Source organism: Homo sapiens, chromosome 6 (genome assembly GCF_000001405.40).
Source record: "Homo sapiens chromosome 6, GRCh38.p14 Primary Assembly".
NCBI lineage: Eukaryota > Metazoa > Chordata > Mammalia > Primates > Hominidae > Homo > Homo sapiens.
The window spans coordinates 65,052,081-65,079,460 of record NC_000006.12 but is presented as its reverse complement, the minus strand read 5'-3'; the positions used below and the strand labels follow the sequence as shown (position 1 = coordinate 65,079,460).

General features: G+C 32.7%; 1 protein-coding gene across 2 annotated transcripts in view; it reads left to right on the top strand.

The window, feature by feature from the left end:
- EYS (eyes shut homolog) overlaps positions 1-27,380 on the top strand; it is a 1,987,247-nt gene that overhangs the window by 627,766 nt on the left and 1,332,101 nt on the right. For both annotated transcript variants that reach the window (NM_001142800.2, NM_001292009.2), the window contains exon 13: positions 21,734-21,847. In NM_001142800.2, coding sequence (NP_001136272.1) covers positions 21,734-21,847 — 114 coding nt within the window. The remainder of the gene's footprint in view (positions 1-21,733; positions 21,848-27,380) is intronic.

The following is a 27,380-nucleotide window of genomic DNA, read 5'->3' as shown; positions in this document are numbered from 1 at the left end:
TGGAATTGATCTGTAATTACATTTCATGAAACTGAAGGTTGAAAATAGATATTTATATGTATCAAGTTGTCAACCATATTTAAAAGTTTTTAAATATCTCAAATGAATTAGTTTTTAAATTTAAATTAAAGTTAATTTAAATTAAAAATTCAGTTCCTCTTGCATCAACATTTCAAGTGTTCAACCATGTGTCTACTGATTACCATATTGAACACTGCATCTCTCAATGTTTCTATTAAATAAAATTCACTTTTTATAAGAAACCAGACTTCTTGATATCGAGATCAATTTCATGCACAATACTCTGTCAGCTTTAGTAATCAAATCAATTAATGTTTGTAATAGGCTATTCTTGCATTGCTATAAAGAAATACATGAGACTGAGCAATTTATAAAGAGAAGAGAATTAATTGTCTTACAGTTCTGCAGGCTGAACAGAAAACATGGTACCGGCATCTGCTTGGCTTCTGGGGAGGACGCATGAAGCTTTTGCTCATGGCAGGGGTGAAGCAGGAGCTTGCATGTCACATGGCAAAAGCAGGAACAAGAGGGAGTGGGAGGGGAGGTTCCACACATTAAAACAACCAGATCTCATGAGTACTCACTATTTCAAGGACAGCACCAAGTCATGAGGGATCTGCCTGCATGATCAAAACGCCTCCCACCAGGCCCCACCTCCAACATTGAGGATTACAATTCAACATGAGATTTGGGCAGGGACAAATAACCAAACTATTTTAATGTTCTTTATGCTTAGTTTTTACTGGCCGTGGAAAATGTACCTAAATTTGATTCCTCAATTATTTATTATCTATACCAATTACCTTGATTTGCATGCATTATTGTAGCCAACATGATTATTGCTTTGGAGTTTTTACCCAGTCTACATTTGGAACTTCATTCACATACATATGAATACCTTCAGTGGCTTAGGTTAATTTAAATATCAGATACTGGTCACACTCCTTTGACCTTTACTTTTTTTTAAAGGAATAATTTAAAAAGCATTTTTCTTCTTGGCAATCTTGCTTTGTTACTGCAGTTCCTATTTTGCTATTGTGTTCTAAAACTTCCTCAATTGACAATTGAACTGCAGGGCATAGATTAAGAAAAATAGTTTAACAAATAAATCATTATTTAATTTCTACTGTAATATTTCTGATCATACTTAATGTCTCAAATTTGAAATTTGTTTACCATAAATAATGAAATAATAGTTGACATAAAATTCTAAACCTGACTGCAAACATAAAGTGCATGCTGGCATATAAATATGTGAGACTACTAGAATACAATAGGCTGTTTAGATTCCACAAATTAAGCAATCATCTTACAATAACACACCACACAAGACAACCACTGGGCTGCACAAAATAGAAAAGAGGAAATCAATTATGGTTCAATAATGCTACTTTCCCAATCAGTTAGAAATTAACAAAAGTACCTTGTTTACAGGAATTCTGATGGCATAATTTTCTGACAGCTTTTCATCTGTGAATATTAAGCATTGCTTGTTTAATTATGAATACAACAACTGAAAGCATCTGAGGAAGAAGCATATTTATTTTTTCTAAAACCATTAAAATTATCTCAAAGTAATTTTTAATTATTTAGAAGTTGTTCACTTATAAATATATGTTGACACATTTTTAACTTTGATAGACATCTTACTTTTAAGATCAAATAAATGAAATTAATTGCCATGATTTTTTGACTTTTGGTAAAATGTGTTTATAAGAAATTCTGTTATCTATCTGACATTAATCTAGAAATGAATACAATCTCATCAAAAGGAAGGCTTTTGACTATGTTCAACAAGCCTCTTCCATAAAACAACCTAAAAAATAATTTTGAGTTTAATGAATTTGAGAAAAAACTGAAAGTTAAGAAGTTGTAATTCTGTTTGAGCGTTTCAGAAAATGTTCGTTTTATATATCTAACTTAATGCATTTATTTGCGTTTATATTAGCTGCTATTAAATTTTCTCTTAATACCATGCAATTTCATTATAAACCTAGAGCGTTTTCTTCAGTGCCTAGTGGGCTTACCTTATTGAATCATAGTGTTAATGCAACCAATAACATTGATTTAAATATTTTATTTACTGTTTGTCTCTCTTTAATGGTGATGGACTAAGACGTTCATTCAAGCAGCTATCTTGTAAATGCATACTTTGAGTAAAAACATGTACCTCATGTGAAAATGACATTCTGCAGAGGCCACAACCACACATAGATGACTGTGATAATTATAGATTACCCATAGGTTTGTTCACACTCAACCTTAGGGCTAATAGATCCTGTCTCGTAGCAGTACATCAGGCACTCCAGAGTTGTGTATGAGACTATACTGCTTCCACACCTGATGCTGTGTGTGTGTAGACGTGACTACAGGTAACCCATATCCCCACTAATCGTTGACTTTTTGCCCCATTGTTGACTTTAGTTTAGTGTGTACTATACTACTGTTATTCCTTCTAAGGCCCCTGTTTTCTGATTTCCTAATTCTCAGTTCAGTTTTCTGCCTGGTTTGAGCTGAGCTTCAAAGAGCAGTCTGAATATCTGGGAGGTGATACCTGGGTGAGGAAACTAATTTCTGATAGTCATTATCAATGAATACATGCTATTCATATTTAATCAACTGCCTGCCTCTCTTTATACTTCTCTTTCTGCCTCCCAGATCCCTGATAGTAGAAGTACTCAGCATGCCTCTTAGATTACCATGAGAGGAGGAGAGAGAATGTATATATATGTATGTGTGTGTGTGTGTGTGTGTGTATATATTTATGTGTATATATTTATGCATATATATTGCTTATCAATGCACTCTGAGGATAATTTCTATAAATTTTGGATTTAGACAAAACTAAAATAGTCATAATTTTGTTGCTTTCTAGATGTGTAAACCTGAACAAATAAGTTTAGCTCTATATCCCAGGATTTCCATTTCTAAAACTGTGATGATGATAGCTATTCACAAACTTGTTTTAAAGTACCAAGAGAGAATATATATCAAACAATGGGATGCCTCATACCCTATAAAGGTTTGTAACATTATTTACCAATTTAATGGACATATGTAATTTTGTCTCTGATTATTTTGCCATGTCATTGTCAATATGTATGATATATTTTATAATTTGATATTTCAAAAGATAACAGAAATATAATACAAACTTGGATGACCTCAATATTTTTTCCTAGTTTTAAGTCCCCTAAAAACAAGATTCTTAAAATGCCACAATAAAAGAGTGATACAATGTATTTCTGAATTTATTTCAAATTTTTAGACATTTTTTCTTTGGAGAACTTAATTTGTATAAGTAGCATGTATGATCTATCATCTTTACCTTTAAAACTGTCCAGCAAAAATAAAATGTGGTTTTACAAACCTCTTATCATTAAATTATGTAGTTGTCATTTGGACTGTAAAGTAACTTCCTGTTTTTTTCAAATCCAACTTGATTTACTGTTTTAATGCTTGCTTTTCTTCTCTGTCAGATAAAAACTGCAGTAGACATTGATGAATGTACTTCCAAGATCTGGAAAAATTGAGGTGTGAGATTTTACTGTAGTTGCCTGCCAGGAAATAATCAGATATTTATGCATTTTAGACCTATCAAATGAATTTTCATTTCAAATGAAACTTTTCAACTCACTAGAGGTTAGAATTGACATGTTAACAATTCTCCAAGAGTTGCTATAATTCTCCTTAGAAATATTAGGCTGTGAGAAACTCAAATATTACCTTACTATGCATTTATATGAATATTTACCATAGATGCAGGAACTAGTATTCTGTGTAGGTGGAATCATAAGAGCTTTCTGAACTAAAAGACTGATACAATACTATTTAAGAAATTCACTGTAACATGGAATTGTATAACATTTTGGGTTCATCTAAAACTTTAACCCGAACTTCCTCAGATTATTAACGTTTCTGGCTCTTCCTTTAAAAAGCTTTTAGTAATTCTAAAACTATATAGAAAAACACATAAATTAGCAACTATATTGTTATGAATTGTTTAAAAGTTAGTTATATATAAGTTAAATGAATTTATGTTTATATAGTAGTTCCATCCTTTAGAAAATATTTAATACTTTCAAAATGTGAAGAAATTTTGTGTTAAGCTGTTGGCAATATTAAAACCATTAATATGTGTAAATGCATGTAGGCAGTGTTTTGTGAAATGATAAACTCATTGAATTGTAGAAGTGGTTAGATTATTACACCCTTGGTTTTCAAGAAATGTACCCAAACTCTTGGTGGGATACAAACACAGTCTAAGAGCTTCAAAAATGTTCAAGATAGTGACTAAGAACTCATGTTCTCAACTTAAAAATCCTCCTACAAATATACTGAAGATAACAAGTAGAGTGGGTGAGAACTCACAACATGATATGAAAATTATATACATTTTATTAAGTAGTGATTTTCAGTATTATACACAATGACTACTTGTATTACATCATGTGACTTTTAATACCATTTCATTTGTTTCTCTGTTAAAAATTACCGAAACTCTTAGACAATGTGCCCTAGTTTTTGGAGTAATCTTATGTGAACGTTTCTTCTGTTTTTGCATGCAGTGAGGTCCCACCCATCATCTTTGGTGAAGCACATGTCAGTTTAGTTGGTCATATTTCTCTCTTTAAACAGAGGCCTGTCTTTACCTGTCTCAGCAGTCAATTATGTTCCTAGATACTTCTCATTTAAAACTTTCTTCAAAATGTTACTTGGCCCCACAAAGCAGCCTCCTCTTGGCTGTTCATTTCTCTGCTATGATCTGATGCTCTGTGTTTGACATTGATATTACTGCTTTGCTGCTATTTCGCACTCACTTTCTCACTGCTATAGAGGGAATAATATCATACACTCTGCTTCTAGAAGGGAAGTGTAAGTTCCTAGATGAAACGTAACTTGAAAATGGATTTAACAATATTGCTTTTGTAAAATTATTAAGCACTCCCTCGGCAGTAGCCACTCAGAGACGTTCATATTTAATAATGTTTTGCCACATGGTCTCTACAAGGTCTCACCGAGACCTTGAGTAGAAACAGGCAAGATTATGCCATGAAGGGCAGGGCTGCACGGAATTCATTCAGGACAATAATTTGGGAGATGCAGTGCAGGTGAGAAAACAGTGCTGTACCTGCTATGACCCCGAGATTTCTATGTTGGCTGAACCTGTGGAGCTGAAGAAAGGAATAATTACAGAGTTCAGGACCAGTATTTACCATAGAGTCGGCATATTGTAGTCTCAAAGGGAATTACCTGTTTTTCATTTTTGTTTATTTCTAGAGTTAGAAAACAATTCCGTTTTATTTTCATATTTTACTGTGAAAATACATAAAACCACACAAAATAAATACTATCTTAATAAGTTATTATAAGATGAACAAGGTAATGCACTCTTATAACTACCACCTAGGGGAAGAAGTCGAACTTCACCCCTAAACATCTTCCATGTGCCCAGTGGCAACGTACCACCTCCCTTTCTGCAAAACTAACCAATCTCCTCATTTTCAGAGAATCACTTTCTTGCTTTTATAATTCAAGTGTTCATTTCTAGGTGGCAGTGTTTAGTTGTGCGCATTTTTAAAATATACTTTCAAGTATATGGCACAGATCAATGTATTCATTACTTCATTCCAGAGCTACCAAATTCAAATTCAGCATTATATAATCTTACACTTAACATCTTCTGCATAATATTTGTATATCCTTTCTTCCATAATAAAAGTCTAGTCTCAATAAAATAAGGGACAACAAAATCAGAATATCTCATTTTTCATATATAAAAAATATTAAAAAGTATATATAAAAATATAATCAATGTAACATTTTAAATTTTGTTCATATATTGCCCTCATTTTCCTCTAATTTTTATTATATATCTATATTCTGAGCCTGTAGGCATTATATACAATACACTTTCCTTTATCTAGTTTGGGTTCTGTAAGTAGATAGATGTACAGTGCACACTACCTATTCTCATATTGATCTCTGCTGCTTATTTTGGTTGTTTAAAGCTTATTTATCTAGGATATACTTCAGAGAGGGCTAATGGAAATAATTCTTGCATTCTTGGGTGTTCATGATCATAGGTCTGTGATCTTTATACTTGAAAGTCAGTTTTACTCTGTAAAATCTTTGACTCACATTTTCTATTTTTCTCACAGTTTAAATATTCTTAAGTATTTAAATATATCATTTTTTCTGGCATAATATGTTGCTGTTGAAAAGTCTGATGTTAATCTAATTTTCTTTTCATTGTAAATCAATTGCTGTTTTTTATCTGCTACATGCCCAAAGGGTATTAGTTTTTCATTGAAATGCAGTTATTTTATTAGAATATATCTGAGTGTTGTCTATATTTTCTTTAATCTTTCCATGTAGTTTGAAACCTTTTTCTTTTTCAGGAAAGTTTTCTTTAATTATAATAATGTTTAATTATATAATGTCGTATAATGTTTGTTCATAAAAAACATTAATTATATAATGTTTGTTCATTTTCTTTCTTTTGCTTCTTTTCCAGGGAGTCTTTTAATTCAAATATTGAATCTTCTTTGCATAGTTTCAATATTTGCCTATTTCTCTCAAATCATTTTTATCTCTTTCTTAATTTCCTTTTTACTTGATTTTTTTCAAATAATTATCTTACGTAATTATTGTATGTATCCTTTGTCATGTTCTTTTTGGTATAATATTCATTTCTGAAAGTTTTCACTTTGTGATTCTTTTTTGAATTTGATGACCTCATTACTGAGTATTCTAATTGGTATTTTGTATCTTCATAGCTTAGGTTATTTTCTCAAAATGTTTTAGCTCATTTTGAAATAGTAATACATTGCAGATTGGATCTCACTTTGACAATGTTTTCATTATTTGCTTTTATTATTTTAGAAACTTTCATTCACTTTAAGAATATTGTTCCATTTCTTTTAAATAATTTTGTATTGGAGTTGATTTTGATAATTTCTTTTGCTTATTTTCACAAACTATTAGTCTTTATGGATGTTTAGAAAGAGACATAATTCAGGGTAGCTTTCTTCAATTCACAGCAATCTGTCTCTTCTCTTGTTTTTGTTTGTTTGTTTGTTTATTGTTCTGGTGTATATCTGCTTGCATGCTAAGATATCTTAGGTCTCTGATTCCTTCTCCTACTATTGTCTAGTCTTCTCTGTCTTTAATGTCTATTTTCCCTGTCCTACTCAATTTCTATTAAATTTCTTACAATTTCTCCCCAATATGTAGCCCTGTTTGGGAAGACAACTGAGGCAGCTCAATATTGTGAGTTTATAGGGATGCACTGTTCTGAAGATATTTTTGTTTATCTGTTTTAATCCCACATTGTACAAGCAGACAAAATCCTTCGGAGCTTACTATTTGTCTTAGTCCATTTTGTACTGTAACAGAATACTTAAGACTGGGTAATTTATAAAGAAGAGAAATTTATTATCTTATAGTCTGGAGGCTGGAAAGTCAATATCAAGACACTAGTAGGTTCAGAAGATGAAAGAGCAAAAAGGGATGCAATTCCTCATCAAGCACTTTTATAATGGCATTAATCTATGTAGTAGAGTGAAGACCTCATAACCTAAACATCTCTCAAAATGTTACACTTCCGAACACTGTTGCACTGGGGATTAAGTTTACAATACATGAATTTTGGAGAGGACACATTCAATCATGCTGCTGTTCTCAAGTTGATTTACTATGCTTTCTAGGGAATACTTCACATCTATTTAAGAATTATCTTGTCTTCAGGCCCATACGATGCCATATTATTTCCCTTGGTTGTCAGTTGAACAGATGTATGTGACACATTGTTCTTGGTTCTTGTGAATAATTTTAGAGTTGCTGTTGTTGGTATATGTGAGTATGTATTCATGGGGATACCATGTCACTAAATTTTGTTGTGCATGCCATTCATGGGTTTTAAATTTTATTATCTAGTTGATCTGCCTGTTATTAGATGGGCATTCACAGAAATCTAAAAACTATTTCAACACTACCATTATTTTTTCCAGAATTCCATTTATAATATGGAATAGTCCCATTCTGATTGTTTAGATATATGCCAATGTATTTTTACTTTAAGTGCATATTCCAAACAAATTTTCTGATATCAAATAGGCTGAAAGTTAAAAACCCTAATGGGTAGTTTATATACTAACAACTTTCTTGCTCTCTAGAGTGGATTTAAATTATTTGTATTTTTAAAATAAGTTTTTGTTTTTTTTCTAAATTCTACATTTTTCTGCAATTTTTTAAGTTAGTGATAACTACTTCATCCATTTAGCCATAATCCATTTTAAATACATTCCTTTTGTTTGGCTTTAGTAAAGACAAATTTATAATTAAAAACTAAAACAACATGTCCAGCAATGATAAAAGAATGACCATTTCTTAAGGAAGAGAGGTCTTTAAGATAGTAAATGTCATATTAACCGTAAACTGTGAAATAAAAAAGTGACAAATGTATGTATAGGTGATTTCTAAATAATGTAAAATGCAATTTAATATTATCATCCATTTTATCCTGAGTTTATTATTATACTATGCTTTTAGTAAATATTTATTGGATTATGAATAGTGCCGGGCATAGAGTATTAAATGGTCAATAGTAGGGAAAACTGTTCTGTTTACAGTTGAGTGGGAGATACAGACCAGTAAACTTAAACATAGACATGAGTGGTATCATGCGATGCAAATACATAACAGGAAGTATTGAAGACACAAAGGAGGGGGACCTAATCCAGATTTGCCCCCATAGAAAAAGAAGATTTCTCAAAATAAGTCTCATCTAGAATGGGATATAGTTAGTAACAGGAATTGGCCAGGATGCTAGTGACCTCTTTATCACCAAGAAAACAGCATTAAAATCCCTAGCCATGATATAACCTACAGTGTACCCACAAACAAAAAAAAATTAAAATTACAAAACTCTAGATGTAAGAATGAGAAAAATATTGTAGGAGATTGAGAGAAGGTTGTTATGAGTAGAGTCCAACAGTGAGTGCATGTGAGTGACTGCTAAGTGTGGATGCAAAGAAAGTGACAAGACATAAGGTAGAGGCCTAACAAGGGTGAAGACTCTCCAGAACCTTGTAAAACTTGCTGAGATATTTGGGCTTTTACCTTAAGAGGATTTGAGACATATGTGAGGGTTTTACACTGCCAAATGTCATGTTCATATTTGTGTTTCAAGAGAGAGAAGTTTTGCTGCTGGATGAAGAATGAATTAGCACGTAGATAAGACCCAAAGCAGGAAAGCCACTTAGAACGCTGTTTTTGTAATGGAAGGGAGATTTAATGACAATCAGGATTAGATAGTTGCAGTGGTGAAGGAAGAGTGGATTTATTATACAGTATTTAGGAATTGTTTTAACCTCATATTTTTACTGAAGTAAATGGAGATAAAATTACAGGACGTGTGTATCACTTGAGTTTAATTAGTGAAAGTGAGGTTCTGAAAAGAAACATCAGTTTTCTGACAGGAGCATCTATATAGACTTGGTGTTATTTACTGAAAAACAGGATTAGAAATCAAAGGTTTGGGAGAAAGATAATGATTTATATTGGAAAATATAAATCTGACTATTTTATGGGCTTCCCAAATTAACCTTTCAATAGCTGTTCAGATATTTCAGTTGAAGGAGAGATTTTGAAGCACAGAAGAAAAATCTGAGCTAAGGATGTAAACTTGGAGTCAATCATCTAAAAAATAAAAATTAAAACCAGTATAATGTATGAGTTTACTCAGGTATGTATACAAATTGAGAGGAGAAAGAGAGCCCATGACCAAAGCTGAGGCATGTCAATAATTAAGATACGAGTAGAAAAACCACAGAAGCTACATCGAGAGACACACAAAGTAAAGGATAAAAAACAGTGAGAAGTGTAGCTGAGAGGAGTGCACTTAAGAGACATCAACAATAAACAATGTCATCTCGAGATTATGTAAGATGGGGACCAAAAGATCGCAGTTTGGATTTACCTTTAATGATGTCCTGTAACAATGGCAAAAAGCAATTTCTGTAGAGGGAAAGGCAGAAGTCACTTGTTCTGTGACTGAAATTGAGTTGACTTAAGGAAATGGAGAAAATGAGTATAAGTTAAATCTTTAAAGGAAGTTGGCATCAAAGGAAGGAAGAGAGAAAGAATGAGGATGATGTAAGATGAAAGTTTTCTGTTTTCTTTTAAGGTAGAAAAGGCTAGAATAGTTTTAAATGCCGATCAAAGAAGACAGTAAAAGCAGAAGTTTGAAGATGCAAGAGATGAGGAAGGAGATACTGAATCCCCCAAAACTTCAAGCTTGAGTAACAACCACATGTGTAGGAGTAATATCACATTTATTTTCGGAAAGAAAAAGAGAGTACCAAAAATGTAGGAGAAAATGTGTGTAAACATGAAGATTACGAGTCCTAAATTTGATGGAGTGCTTCTCTTCTGCCTTCTATTGTCTCTGTGAGGTAAAAATTTAAATCATCTCTTGAAAGGATGATGTATTTTAGCAAGATTAGATATTAGAGGAGTGCAGAGAAATTTAAAAGTATACTAAGGTATCTAAGAAAGGTTTATAAATAGCATGAGAATTTAACAGATACTGCAGAGCATGGCTTATGAGTAGAGTTGAACATAAGCAAACAATTATTGCATTAATTCAAAGAATTGCTTGCCAACAATTTTTTTTAACATCAGAGCACAAGTAAAAATTGGTAACATTTTCTGACATCTGTTACATACTTACAAGCCTTCTTGAAGCCAGAGGTAGCTGGCCTATGATACCTAGAAACTGGTATTGGCCAGTTTCTATGTCCTGGGCTAGGGCTAAGGGGATTAATATCTAGTCCCACCTGGAACTCACATGTTGGTACATAGACACACAGGTGAGAAGCTATGACTACTCTCTGCTTTCCTGATATCACTAAAAAAATTCAAAGGAGTGAAAATATTTGCACAAGAGTGGCCTCATGGAATAGAAGAAAAAATAGTACAAAGGCCTGAAGGTCAAAGTAAAAGTGTAATGGGAGAAATTGAGAATGGGCAACAAGGATAGGTGATGGAGGTCACACTTGATTAACTGAATAATAATATGTCAGCAGAATGTTTGTATTCATTATTTGAGAGAACAGTGAGGGCAATATCCTTGGATTAGCCATGGGAGGGTGTGACTGATGTGAAATGGATTTCCTTAACATTCGACTCCGTTGGAAAGTAGAATGTTGAGAAAATGAGAAATGCACTGATTTCATGGATGCTCTAAATGCATGTTGGCATTAGCCAAGATGACAGAAATAGGTTTGAAAAATCTCTCAGGCAATAAAATCTTTAGTATAAGAGGAAGAGTTTCTAAGAGAAGGAGAAATGCAATGAGGGCATAGAAGATAACGTCAAAAATTGTCATTAGACTTTGCAATACAGTGATTTTTATATGAATAGGAATTAATGTCCAGGAAGTAGCAGTGTGACCTGAGGATATTAACCCTACCTTCACACTATTAACCTGCTAGCATGTGATAGAATTAATATCTGCCTCTTTAATAAGCATATCCCTTACTGAAACTGTAATTAAATTATTAGTTGACTCTATGCTCATTATATAACATGTAAATAACAGAAGATATTAAAATTATTAAAAACAGGAAACAAAATATTTTTTAAAAACATGGTGAGTTTGGTAGGAGGGTCTTCTCACTGCCATGGTACTTTTGCGTTATCCTGTCCATGAGTGGACAACTTTATGCAATGGGAGACATTACTTGCAAATATTAGGAAAGCCCAAAATCTTCTATTTTTTAGGTGTCTCTTTACTCCTCCTAGTAGTTAATTATGTTTTCTAGTTAATAATTACGTATAAGAATTTTTCCTGTTCAAATTACTAATGTAATTCCTGTCTCCTCTCTGGACCCCCAACTGATACACCCATTGATTTCTGGCTTTGACAATATTTTATACATTCTAAAGCACACTTATTGTATTTCTTCACATCATATCTAAAACCAGAGAGCCAATAATTAATGGTGTGTTTGTCAATTTTGTGATGAATTGAGCAATCTGTGGCATCTTAGATTTCATTATTTTTTTTTATCCTTTACTGTTTGTGTTAGACTCCAATTTTTAGGGACTAAGGAAGAATAATCATTTAATTATGTCCAGCTATTCAGAAAGAATATCCTGTTCTTGGGTGTAGACATATGTATTTTAAGCCTGATTTTAAAAATGACCTGCTGCAGGACTTTGAGTTAGTTTGGAAATGGAAATTTCCAATTGAATTCTCCACATACATGTCTCTTTGTCCCTTTGGGGATATAATTAACTTTTTCTCACTCTCTAGTTCTCTTCTTTTCTTTAGTTTGATCCAACAGACACAGATTATTAAGAATAGCAGATATCTTAATTCTTGAAAGTATATTGCCATTTTCCTCCTAACAAGGCCATTTTCCTAAGCTGATTAGAAGTAGAATTAGTAAAAGACCATGACCTTTCTCTCCTCTGTCGTTTCAGGAATAATAATTCTATATGCTAAATGTTACATATCACATTTAAATGACCAGTCCCATTTGATATTGTTAAGCAGATATTTTATAGCCCATTTCCCAATTATTGCATGCACAGTATATCATTAGTATCTTCACAATGCAATATGTAACTATTTGTGAATTAATTACTTTCACTGCAGTGAGATTAGTGCATGATTAGCAAATGTCTACTAAGAAAGGAACTCATTTGAAAGCATAAAATCTAACCAATTTAGATAGCTTCCCTAATGAATTCAAGTTTGAATCAATTTGTATTCAGTCTTTTGAATATGTTGTAATTTTGACTAAAAACTGAGACAAGATTATTTCTATAAATCTAATATCTTCTTTCTGAAGCACTCTGTGATATAAAGTCTACTGTATCATGAAACAGGTCTGTTGTACTTTTTCTTTCAACTCTGATGACATGCCTAATAAGCTCCTGCTTCATTATACAAAAAAGTATTCATTTATGAGACTGAGCATTATAGGAAAATGGGTTTCCATATTGTTATTTCACCTGAGAATATTAGGAAATCTGCAAGTGTATAATTGCCAAGAGTAATCTTGTTATTACCAATTGTACATGACCTGGAAATAGGTTCAAAATTGCTAAAGGTACAATCAAAGATAATTTTTACATGACTCACAGCTTTAAGAAATTTATGTAATTTCACTGGCTTCATCTTATCAATTCTAGTAACAATATACATGTTTGGACAGTGGCAAGTGGTAATGTTTAATAAATTGAGATTATTTTATTAACCATTTACTGATATGAGGAATCTCTGTGGGATCCAGAATGAAAAGGCTTGGCCAGGCTCAGATGCTGTGGCTTTGAAAATGCCATGCCCATCAACAAGCAATGATGTCCCTAGCCTCTTTATTTTTGTGGTTGTCATTGAACTAATTAAACCAAGATGTTTGAACAAAAACTGAAGGCAGTCAATATGCTTATTTTGCAGGAGGGCCATTCAGTTGTAGATATCTGTAAATAATGTAGACAGCCAATGAAATTTACATTTATTGGATAGGTTCTAATAGCAAGGACCATAGGAAAACCATAAGGTAGTAAGTGTGGGGATTGAAAACAAATACATGTGACACATTCTTCTGTGCACTGTCAAACGTATTAATTTACAAGGCCAACTGCCAGTTATAAAAGTTTCCTAGGCATGTGTGGCAATAGTGTGAAGAAGAATTACTATAAATCTGATCTTGTGTATTCCCATTTAAAAGATGTTGCTTTCTGGCCAGGTGTGGTGGCTCACGCCTGTAATCCCAGCACTTTGGGAGGCCGAGGCGGGCAGATCACAGGTCAGGAATTGAGACCATCCTGGCTAATGCTGTGAAACCCCGTCTCTACTAGAAATTAAAAAAAAAAATAGCCAGGCGTGGTGGTGGGCACCTGTAGTCCCAGCTACCCTGGAGGCTGAGGCAGGAGAATGGCGTGAACCCGGGAGGTGGAGCTTGCAATGAGCAGAGATCGCGCCACTGCACTCCAGCCTGGGAGACAGAGCGATACTCCATCTCAAAAAAAAAAAAAAAATTGTTTTTTTCCCAGACAAATCACTTTTAAGTAAATCCTTTGATTTGTTTTTCAACACTGAAAAAAATTTAGTTGGCCTAAAGCCATTAGCAGATTATCATCTGGGAAGTAAGTATTTCTAGTCAACAAACTGTATCACAGTTGTGAGAAAATTTTCAATTTATAAGACAGGTCCTGTGATGATTTTATTATGTCACCCCAAATTTTAATACATGCCTATTAATTGACACCTGCTCTATAAACTCATGTTCTCCATCATGTTATTAGACACCTGAAGGCTCAGCACGCCTAGATTCTTAGTCACAAAGAAAGAGGCCTAGGGGTTTCCTGGTGGCTTACTCACACAAAGAATCAGATCTCAAGTCAGCCTGCCACTTCCATGCCTAGTGTCTGTGTTTGCAGTGAGCTCTAGAGGTGAACATTAAAATTAAGGATCAGCCTTTCTGTGAGACTCACCTTCCAGGGCCATCCTGACTATTCAGCTCCTTTAACTAAGATCTTAGGTACTCACTTCCCAGCTTTCAGTCCAAGGTTTGCATATACAATTTTTCCAATTTATCTCCAGAGATCTATAACGTTTCTAGATTCTACCTGAGGAGGGAATAGAGGGCAAGTCCACTTCTGGTATTACAGAAACACAGACCACACTTAGACCTATTGGGTCTGTGAGTGTTTGAACCAAGAAATAGCATTCTTTTTCTCTGCCTGAGTTTGAACCATAATATAAATCATATTCTTCCATCCAACAAAGTACTGGTATTAGTATATAGCTATTACTATATAGCTATATAGTATATAACTTTTATAGTATATATATAGTATATAGCAGAGTATATTAGTATATAGCAGAGTATATTAGTATATAGTACATATATTATACTATATTATATATTATATATACTATATATCATATACTATATATCATATCATATACAGTATATAGTATATATGATATATGGTATATGGTATATAGTATATATGATATATCGTATACTATATATCACATAGTATATGGTATATATATCATATACTATATGATATATAGCAAATTCAGGACTTAGGACAATCCACAAAAAAATAAAGAGAAGAATAGTATACTATATGATATATAGTATACTATATATGATATATATATCATATATATCATATATATATCATACATATATAATATATAGTATATGATATATAGTATACTATATATACTATATATTATATATATTATATATGTTATATATACTATATACTTATAATATGCAATATATAATATACTATATATAGTATATTAGTATGTAGCAAAGTATGTTACTGTATAGCAGTATTAGTATATGGCAGAGCATTAGTATATAGCCTAGTGTAAAGTATTAGTGTATAGCTTAGTGTAAAATTCTTCCATCCAACAAAGTATTACATTAATAATAAAGTCTAGGAGGATATAGCTTAGTGTAAAATCCAAATGAGTATGTCCAGTCTGCAGAGCAGAGTACTTAGACTATTGGCTTCTATCAGTACCAGTGAGGAAGGCAAGAGACAGTGATTTACTCTTCTGCCAACTTTGAAAGTTTAGCTGTACTGTAAACTAACAACTTTGAGCCAATGGCTATTTGTCACCATTTAGATAACTCTTTGTGCCATTTTTGGGAAGAAAAAAATTTGAATAACAGAAGGTCAAGAGTTTTAAGGCAAAGTTACTCTGAATGAAAACTAAGCATGGAAGAGAAAAGACATTTCCTTTAACTTTAGATTTCTACCTCATTTAATTACATCATTGGTGAAAGTATTGACTTTCTCCCAAACTCCTTGGATCAGACACCTTTTGGCCATTATTCTGACCTGGGTTGTAAGTGAAAGAGCTACTGCTCTGACTTGATTTGAAATTATGGGACATTTACCCCCATTTTTCTGACCATACTCTATGCTCTAGTTCTCCCACAGTAATAGTACTTAGTGCCTTTTTCTTTTCTACTGAAGAAGAAATCTCATATAACGTGCTATACAGTGAGATTTTTATGTTAAAGTAAGACTTTTGTTTAGAATAAATGTAGTTTATAATACATTCCACAAACCAAAATATATGTAAAAAGGAATTTGATGGTGATCAAACAAGTTCAGTAGGATAAGCAATAGCTTCCACCTCTACATTAATAATAACCAGATTTAATAATGATATTCATAAATATTGAAGATTGAAAGACATTTACATATAATTTCAGAAAATTGTAAAATATGTAAATTAAGTTCTTATAATTCTATTTTTTCTTTGTTTTATATAAACAGTTGCATTTCTATGTAATTTTCATATACTAATAATGGACTCTGACTTCCAAGAATACATGAATTCATTTAAAATATTTAATGTGGCCCAACTTTGCGCTGTGAACTATTTTGTCAACTATTTTCCAACAGCTAAGGATGGAAAAGAAGGTACTTGCTATTGTGTGCTAATTTTCAAGTGGGAGGAAAACCAAACAAAAATAAGAAATACACAAACTCATACCCATATACATGCATGTCTATGTGTGTAATAAGTTTTATAAAGCAAAGTAAAAGACGGTGATGTGAGAGGAGTTACTGGATAGTAAAGATAATCCTCTTTATGCGGTTTCCATTTACACCAAAAACTGGATAAGAATGAGTTATCCTCCAGAGAAGACTTTCCAGTGATAGAAGTTGTTAGAGCAAGACCCTCAGGTAAAAATGGGTTTGGTAAAATAATCTAAAGAAGTTCAGTGTGGCTGGAAAATAAGTGAGCAAGAAAGGATTACTATGTGTTCTAAACTCAAAGGTTTTCAGGGCCTTATCATATAAGGTAAGGAGTTTGGAGTACTGCCATTAACTTTCTTACTGGATTTGTATTTCCTAATTATATTACACTTAAAAAAATTACTCTGGATGTGTTGTGCACTGCATTAGAGTAAGAGTGAAAGCAGAAAAACAGTTAAAGCAACTCTTGTTCTCATTGGGGATGGGGATACTTAGACTAGATATTGGTAATAGAGATGGAGATAAATAGACAGGTTTGGTACATTTTTAGACATAAAGTTGCAAAGATTTACTAATAATTCAGGGAGGGTGAGGAACAATAAAGAATAACTCTTGGGTTTTGTTATTTATCACAGTTAATAAGGAAGGTAGAGCTGCTTAGAGAGTTTTGTTTGCCCATGTTGAATTTGAGATGCCTAGAATATGTCCAAGTGGTGTTGTCAACTAATATTTAATTAGGCATTGAAGCCAGGAGTTCCTGGGACTGGAGAAATTTTGATTTGGGAGTCTGTCATGTAGAGGGCATGATACGGTTGAGGTTTCTGTAAATCAGTTGATGGTTTCAATTACATGAATAGGTAGAAAAATATAATTTCAAATGAAAGAATGAATAAACAAAAATAAAGGTGACATCCAATGGACAGGAGAAAACAGGAAGCAAATTCAGGATTTAGGACAGACCACAAAAAAATAAAGAGTAAGAAGAAACAGAAAACCCAGAGTAAAGAAAGCATAGAATGTTTGAGATACTATGCATGAAACAGAACTCTAATTATTTGGATTGCTTTTTGGTCAATGGATGATTCCTACATGATGGTTCCTATGAGGAGAAAACGATCACAGTGTGATTTAGCCCAGATGGTGCAAGCAATTGAGGAATATGATGGAAGTAAATATCATTAAGTAACAGATTAAAATTCAGTTAAACAATTAAAAGGAAAACTAATTTAAATGTATATGTGTGTGTGTGTATGTGTGTGTGTTAGGTGGAATTGAAACATAGACCTAGAAATACATGAGGAAGAAAAAATATGATTATTTAGAAATTAACACATGAAACTTATTTTAAAATGAAGTGTCTGATAGTCAATGTACGTTCATCAGTTGTCACAAATGTCTCCAGTCTGGTGGGGGATGTCGATAATGGGAGAGATTACGCATGTGTGGAGTGAGTATATGGGAAATCTTTGTACCCTCTGCTTAATATTGCTGTGAACCTAAAACTATTTAAAAATTAAAGTCTATTTTAAAATAATGAGATGTAGAATGCTTGATTGTTTAATTTGTCTGCCCAGAAACTTTTGAAAAGGATACATGAATGCTATTTTATTGAATGTGTTCAAACTACTTATGCTTATTAATTTATTTGTCAAATAAGTGGAAATTTTACTACAGCTCACTGAATCAAATTGAAATCTCATTTAAATTCAATCTACATTTTGGCAATAAAAGCTCTAAAATTATATACATGTACACCTTAAATGTGGCCTATTGTTGCCAAATCATGTGGAACACACTCTGAAATTGAAGAGTCAGTCGCAAAATCTGTTTCTGGCAATCTTTATGATATTTATTACATCATTTGGAATTTTATTATTTTGTTAATGATTTGTCCTAAACAGGATTGAAAATGATTACCTGTCCTTTACAGATACAGTATCATTGGCATTTTTCTGCATTTAGTCTGTTAATTTTTCATTCATTTAACAAATGGTTTTTGAGCACTAATATCAGACAGTAGCTATTCTAAGAGCCATGGATACTAGAAAATATTTTCATAAGCATACATTTTAAAGAAATTACATATATATGTATGTGTGTGTATATATATATATATATATACACATATATATACACATGTATATACACATATATATATATGTATTTATATATGCAACTGACTGCAGAAGAAGGTGTAAACACTAGAAAAGTGTTGTGCTAACCTGTACCCAGAAAGAATAGGCAGAGGATACCTGAGATGATCCAGGTTTTAAAAGGAAACCAGGTATTCCCAGGCAAAATCACAGGCATTTAAAAATTCATTGTGGTTACTTGGGTAAGAGGGTGAACAAGAAACAGGGAAGGATAAGAGAGAGAAGACCAAGAAGGAAGGCTAGGTACAGACCATGATGTTCCTGTAAAGTATGCTGTGAGTTTTTTACATCATCCTCTAAATTTGTATTTCTCCTGCTAAAGCACTGTACTTTAGGGGATGAATTTAAAGCTTCATGAAAGTCACAACAGTGATTGTAGAATCATCTTGGACTGTCAAGTTTCCCTATGGGTGTATACGTATTGTGTTATAGAATGTGTTATATATTAATGAGGATAAAATATGATGCAAAATCCAAGATTTGCATGAATTTAAAGTGTCAAATTTGAAAAAAAAAAAAAGTCTTCCTTGTAGGTGTCTTGTCAAACCCTCCTGATGTCTAAGATCATAAATTCTTTATCCTCATTAGTTAGGATTGCTCTAATAGATTAGTTTGGGAAATACGGATGAGGGGTGGAAAGAAATTGAAGGCTGAAATTGTTAGCTATTTCATCACATTTGTCTTTTAGAAATACAAGCTCATGGCAGTGTGACATTCAGGTTGATAAGGGGAAGCTGGGATCAGAAGACACAGAGACATATTTAAGAATAGTAACCTAGAGAGGGACAGGGTGATTGATTCCCCTGTGTGCAGGAATGTGACCCATGTTTCTCCAACTTCACCAGAAATTTAGAAGAGTATCATGTTAATATTATAAATTAATATTTCATTATTTCTTTCCTCCTTCCAGTCTTTGGGAACTTGAGGACTGTAGGAATCTCCACAAAGTGTATTTGTCACAAGACAAACAGGTTTCCCTCAGTGTGACTAAACTTAAACAGGTTTCTTCCTGAGGTGCTTCTCTTGTTACCTCTTTACAGGATCTAAATGATCTAACCACAGAAGTTCCTCCCCTTCATTTTCTTAGAGAATTTACTTCAGAACCCAATAATTATAAATTCTTTCTTTGCCTCTTTGGGGTATAAATATCTTTAAAAGCCTCTTGTTCATTTAGGAACCCAAGACTATCTTTCTCAAGGACCTGGGAGCCATCCCTTTGAAGTGTAAGGAAGATAGCATATGTAATCTCCCAGTCTCTGTAGGAGGGTAGGAGACTAACTTTGGTATGCACCTTGATCCAAGTTGTAATACTACCTCCTAACTTGAAGATTGAAAAACAAATCTAATTTTCTTTTTGTTAAGGCTAAATAGCAAATGCATATGACCTATGAGCTCTCTTACCCCAGCTCTTAAAAACTCTCAACCATTGTTACAATGGAGTCAAACTCAGACTGATTTTTGGCTTCTCTCCTTGATTGCAATAGCCTTCAATAAAATCTTTCCTGATTGTTTAACTTTTTTTCTGGTTAAACTTTTGCTTTGACAGTAGGGTTCTCAATTTCCACAAAATTAAATTATCTCATTAAAAAAACTAATATATTTAAGGTTTAAAAAGTTTTCATTCACTCACATAATTCTTTTTAATATTCACTTTTTTTCTCAGCTTACCCTGATGTTCTAGTGTCAGGTATTCACTAAATATTTCATTTTGTCAGTGATAATAGTGATATTTTCTATTTAGTCCAGTACGTTGATTCCTATTAGATTAATTTGATGTAGGTTTTCTTCTTTCTAAATTCATGTTACTGTTTTACAGAATTTTTTTAAAAAAAGAAGGAATGTTTCCATTCAAATAATTTGCTAATAATTTGCATTGTGTCAATGTCAATTTTCTATTATTGTTATAAATTGGTAAGAAAATTAGCTGTCATAAGTGATAAAAATCAATTCAGTGTCAGTTGAGGCTATGATTTTCAACTGTTGGGAAATTAAGCAATCTAAGTGGTATAATAAGAAAGGTCAGCTTTAGCAAAACAAGTTCTAGGTGGAGGATGAATGAAAATATGAATTGGACAACAGTTTAAAGAAAATGCTAAGACTATATAGTTAATGGACATTTATTTGTTTTCTTTCCATATAGGCTTACGTTGTAAAATTACTAGAAAAAAAGTAATTCATCACCCTGGCACCATAATATTATATCTACAAAGATCATGAGTAGATTGAAATGCATCTACCCATTACTCATGGCTTTATTAGTAAATAGTACTCAATAACTGTGCCTTATAAAGAACATTTAGGGCCAGGCTCAGTGGCCCATGTCTGTAATTCCTGCGCTTTGGGAGGCCAAAGTGGGTGGATCTCCTGAAGTCAGGATTTCGAGAACAGCCTGACCAATATGGTGAAGCCCTGTCTCTACTGAAAATACAAAGATTAGCCTGGCATGGTGGTGTGTGCCTGTAATTCCAGCTACTCAGGAGGCTGAGACTGGATAATTTCTTGAACCCGGGAGGCAGAGGTTGCAGTGATCCAAGATCGCACCACTGCACTACAGCCTGGGAGACGGAGCGAGATTCCCTCTCCAAAACAAACAAATGAACAAATAACATTCAGCCCTCAGGGACATACATCAGGATGTTATTGATTCACCAATATTTTCTTTTCGTTCCTTTTTTATTTCCTTTCACCTAACATTTGATCTGCATTTCAGTAACCTGAAATATCTGCACCATCTCTAGACTCTCTAGCAAAAGATAAATTAGTTCACATCTAAAGAGACTTTGCATGCCTACAAACTCAGAAGAGATTAGTGTCCTTTTAGTAATTCTAAGAGAAGTTACTACAGTTTGTAGCAAGGTGAAATAAATGGGTTCTGATAGTAATATATGTGGCATTCTTATCTAATAAATTTGGTTTCAGATGTCATCCTAAGTGGATTAAAGGCTTGTGCAAATTTAAGAATTACGACTTGATACATGCCTGTCTTGTTAACACTTAACATTTTTTTTTCCTATTTTCCAAAGGTACGCAATGTGAAATTGATATAGATGAGTGTGCTTCACATCCCTGCAAAAATGGAGCCACCTGCATTGACCAACCTGGTAATTACTTCTGCCAGTGTGTGCCTCCATTTAAAGGTAATGAACACCAAGGGATAAGGAAAAGCAAACATAATTAACTTTAAAAAGCACTTCTGTCTCTTGTCTGAACTCATTTCAGTCTTCCAACAACATTATTAGTCCTTCATTTTCTTAAAGTCAGCTTCTAAAGTGACCAACCAATTATTCCTTAGGCAGAAACTAGAGTGAAATTAGTTTTGTTTACATACACACTAAAATAGTTGAGTTTCTTATTTTTCTATTTGAAAGGTCACCAATGAAACCAAAAGATACAATAAAAAAGTAAGGAAGGAATATATTACCAGCCTAGCATGTTATATTTGAAATATTCTTCTGTATTATTTAATTTCTTATGAAATTGTCAAGTTTTCTCTTCTTCTTTCTAAGCTAATCATCTGTTTAATTTTTCAGTGTTCAACTTTGATGGTATTTCTTCAACTTCAGTTCAGGAATTGTATTTTTTCTCCATAAACTAAACAAATCCTTGCTTTGCCTTATAAATATGTTAATATATTATTGCAACTAGTATATAGATACTAATTCATTGAGTACTTCCTTGAACTTTAGTATCTCTTTCTAAGCTAAGAAATTTGAAACTGTTCAACTAAATAAAATTAATTTAGATTTTTTTTAATGTTATACCTATTTACCTTAAAAAGGTATCTTATAATTACTTATGAAAAATGTAAGATTGTTTGCCTCACTTCAAATATTTTTACATCCATTTAAACACATTAAGTTATAACTTTCTCACTGTTAAATGACAATAAGAATATATCTAGCTCATTTAGTTGAATGTAATTTAAATGAGAAATGTTATTTAAATACCACAATGTCTGCCAAAAATTAATAATAATTGTTTAATTATAATTTCCAACAATGTTCTAACAAATATGTAATATTTATATAATAGACACTATTTTATCATGCTTGGGCAGGTGGGATATCAATTCATACTTATTTAATCATACATCTTTAAAGATACAGAGGGAATGGCCTAAGTAATCTCGGTAAAAATATTAGACTTCATTTTTTATTTTTTGAGAGAGGATCTCACTCTGTCAACAAGGTTGGGGTGCAGTGGTGCTATCGTAGCTCACTGCAGCCTCTGCCTCCTGGGCTTAAGTGATCCTCCCCTTAGTCCCCTGAGTAGATAGGACTACAGGTGCATGCCAGCATATCAGGGTAGTTTTTGTATTTTTGTAGAGACAGGGTTTCACTGTGTTGCCCAGGCTGGTAGACTTCATTTAAAAAATAGCTGTTTTTCTACTGCCCAGATTTTGGATTTTCATACATTCTTCAATTTAAAAAATCAAATCTCCTTAGAGATCTAGCTATTTTAGGACTAAAGCATGAAATATAGCATGAATAATATTGTAATGCCAGAAAATGTGGAAGTACTTAAACACAAAAGTCTGAGATTAAGTCAAAGCGAGCCAATGGAAGGAGCTCCCAATGATCAAAGCTAGAATGATTTGAGCACCAAAATAAAGGAATATTGGCTGGTACCCAAAATATAAATATGTAAGAGTCCATACTAATGGAAATGTATGGTTGAATGAATAAATGAGAAGTAATAGATGCATCTTTTTGTACAATAATCCCAAATAATTTATGTAGGTACTTTGAACTTAATGAAGTGGAACAAAACTCCCCATCCCTTAAATTTGGACAGCAGATAGTGACTGGCTTTCAAAGAGTATGGCATGTAAAAAGGGGGTCATGGAGGGAAGAGCAGCTTTACAGTGGAGAAGTCTGACAATTGCTACCTGAGCTACAGGACCAAGGTTAACATCAACATACACAGCCGTGTTAATAACCTAAACTTTTGATATGAAATGATGAGAATGGCACTTTTTGTCTCTCATCTTCCTTTCAAAAGTACATTTTCTGAGTCTAGTCATCAAAAAATTATCAGACAAATCCCAATTGACAGACATTCTAAAAAATACTTGACTAGAATTTCTCAAATCTGTTAAGGTCATCAAAAGCAAGAAAAGTCTGAGAAACTTTCAAAGCCAAGAGAAGCCTAAGGAAATATTACTTCTAAAAGTAATATGGTATCTTGGAAGAGATATTGGAACAGAAAAAAAGACATCAGCTTAAAACTAAGGAAATACAAATAAAGTACAGACATTAGTTAATAACATCAATATTGGTTCATTTGTTGTGACAAATGTACCATAGTAGCATAGGATATTAATACAGGGGAAACTTGTTATGGAGTATACAGGACCTCTCTGTACTATCCTTGCAACTGTTCTGTAAATCTAAAACTACTCTAAAATAAAAGTTTAATTTACAAATAAACAATTGCAAATAATTTCTGATTCAAAATATTTTACATTAGGCTGGACATAGTGGCTCACACCTGTAGCCCCTGCACATTGAGAGGTTGAGGCAAAAGGATTGCTTGAAGCCAGAAGTTCTAGACCAGCGTGGCCAACATAGCAAATCCCTGTCTCTAAGAAATAGAAAGGAAAAATGAGCCAGTTGTGGTGGCATGCTTGTGGTCCTAGCTACTCAGGAGGCTGAAGCAGGAGGATTGGTTGACCCCATAAGGTTGAGGCTTCTGTGAATTATTATTGTGCCACTGCAGCCCAGCCTGAGTGACAAAGTGAGACCCCATTTATACAATAAACAAATAAAAAACAGTAACAAAAGAAAACCTAAAACCAAAACCAAACCAAAATATTTTCCATTAAAACAAAACAGAATTTGCAAAGCATGAATAGAAATGTTAGGTAATCATAAATATTTTAACCTTCATATACTAAATACTAAATATTTTAATCTATGAATTATAGTGAAAAGGATTCTTCAGTTAATGGTAGTGCCTTAGCTTTATATGGTACATTAACACGTTCAATGGAACTGTACATACATAAAACAAAAAAGCAAAAACAAGGTTAAATTATTTTAAAATGCACATACCTAATAATGTATAATATTTTTCTGGAAATCACATCACATAAATTTATACTGTAGACACCCTATCCTAGACATAAATACATTCTAATTCAGTTTATATTCTTATACATCTTTCAGCTGGAAACATGTCTGGTATATCAGAAGATGGCTACATGTTTATCTTTTTCTTTTGCTACTAGGCACAGGCTTAATTATCTTGTATGTAGATGAGACCACGTGAATGAATTCTGACCAACAGAAAATCAATAGTAGTTTTTATCTTGCAATGTGGTTCATAAAAATATCTCACAGTTTTTAACTTTTTCATTTCTTCTACATTCTTCTTGGAGTTGCCTGAAAAACTAGAGAAAAGCCAGAAGATGGAAGAGTATAGGTCCCTAATTCTTATATGAAAAGATGTTCACAGACCAGGAATACCCCTATTATACTGAGAGATAAACAAATTAATTTATGAGTTGTTATTGTGCTACACCACTAAGGTTAAGGTACTTTGTTCTTTACAGCAACCAGCATTGTTAAGAATTAACCTTTGAATGCTAATAGGAAAGACTTTCCTTGAATACCTCACTAGAATTGAATTTTTTATTGTTATGAATAAATACAATTTTTGAAAAAGTGTATATATAATCCATCTATGAGTTCAGTTTCTATGCAAAAAGCTCAAATAATTTCTATTTGTAAAACTTAGAAACTCTTTGTTTTCTGATTAAATTCGCTCTGAGCCTGTTAGTGATTTCACAGTCTTTTTCCCAAAGAAAGAAAAATAGTACACATAAACAATGTAACTCCAGAATGACACATTAAAATCACAAGATTAAGTTGGTAAATTTTTAGTTGATTCACTAATTTGATAACTTTACTTGTTTGGAATTCAATAGATACAGGTTAGCAAAATATGTCCTGTGGGAGAATATCCAGGCCTTTACCTGTTTTGTGCCTCTCAAAAACACGACTATACTCATTCATTTATGTATGGTGGATGGCTGCTTCAGACGCAAGTACAGAGTATATGTTCTCTTTGCTTGCAAATCCTAAATTATTTACTATCTGGTCCTCTATAGAAAACATTTGCTGGCCCCTGGTGTAGAAAATGATCAAACTATAACCTATAACCTATTTTTTGAGCTAATTGTGGCTTTCTGTTGATATAGTCCAAGTTTTGTCTATTAGATGCTTATTTGCATGAACATATATTTTGATAAAATGATGTCTATCTTTTTTATATAAGAAGTAGATGACTCTTACCCCATTGTACTAGGTTAGATTCATAACTGTTTCATTTTGAGTAAAATGTGTAGCATAATAATAATACATAACTTTATGAGTTTATGCATTTATGAATTTGTTTGAAAATGTAAAGAATATGTACAGTGACTGTTTAGCAAATACATGAAATTGTAAGATATGGCACCTTGAGTGTTTTTCTGAGAATTTGAGTGTTTTTCTGAGAATTTACCCTAGTTCAAACATTTTGCCATTTATAGAAGTTACGTTTTATTACCAGTTATAACTTTTTAAAGCACATACTGGAAAAAGGTATTTGTCCGAAAAGGGAATTGTGATTATATAGTCCATTTATGGGAACAATAGAAAATAATTAGAAAAATCTTGGTGTAATTACTTCTGCAGAGCTGAATAATGCAGTGTTTTTATGCATGTTAGTTTCTAGTACTAAAATTACAGATCCTCCAAAAATAGCATAGCTTTCATACAAAATGTTATTAATGCTGTATATTTTTTGATATCTGTAGAATCTTTTTTCTTCATTTTTTAAAAAACAAATAAATGTGGAAAATAAATCCCTTAATACAATTCTTTTTCCATGAAGTGTTCATCCACTGGCGTAAGTGGTTGGCTTTGATTTAATCTGGCTCCCTTTCAAATTCTAGTCTTAGAAACTGAACTTAGCAAATAAATTTCAAATACGTATTTCTTTTTGAAGGAAAGGGTATTATTTGGTTTTCTGTTACTGTGGACTTAATTTTTCTTCAGAAATGAACAAAAATTTTAATATGTAAAAATGAGTTTTCACTTTCCCTGATATAATTATTATAATATACCTGAACAAAACCTCATGCTTTTCATGTAGCAAAGCAGGATCCAGACTGCATACATATTTTCCATGTTCGGATACCACAATTTTCTATTTTAATTAAAACAAAAAGATATGAGGAAGTCATTCCTAATAAGCACTGTTGTCATTAACGTGTCTATTGTCATGGCCAATGATGGCTTTCTGAGGCACTCTTTATTAAAAGCCCTCTATGCCCAGCACTTCCAAAAATGAATTTTGTATAAATTTGTCTTGATATACAAAATGTATTAAGTAGGGGATTTTATGTTTTGAGTGTAAAGTAAATGAGATTAAATACTGCCTCAAAGTATAAATTTTCTTTCTACATAAGAAAAGTAATTATTAAGCACATACATAAATGCACACACACATAAAAACACACACACCTGGGATTAAGCACACTTACTCATCTTTCCCCCAGAACTAAATGGGGTTGGGTATGTGAAAAATGCTATTTTTTCACATAGTTATAACTATTTCCTTAAAATATATTATAATCAGTGCTAACCAATAAGGCAACCCTTACCCAATCAGCAGTTTTAAATT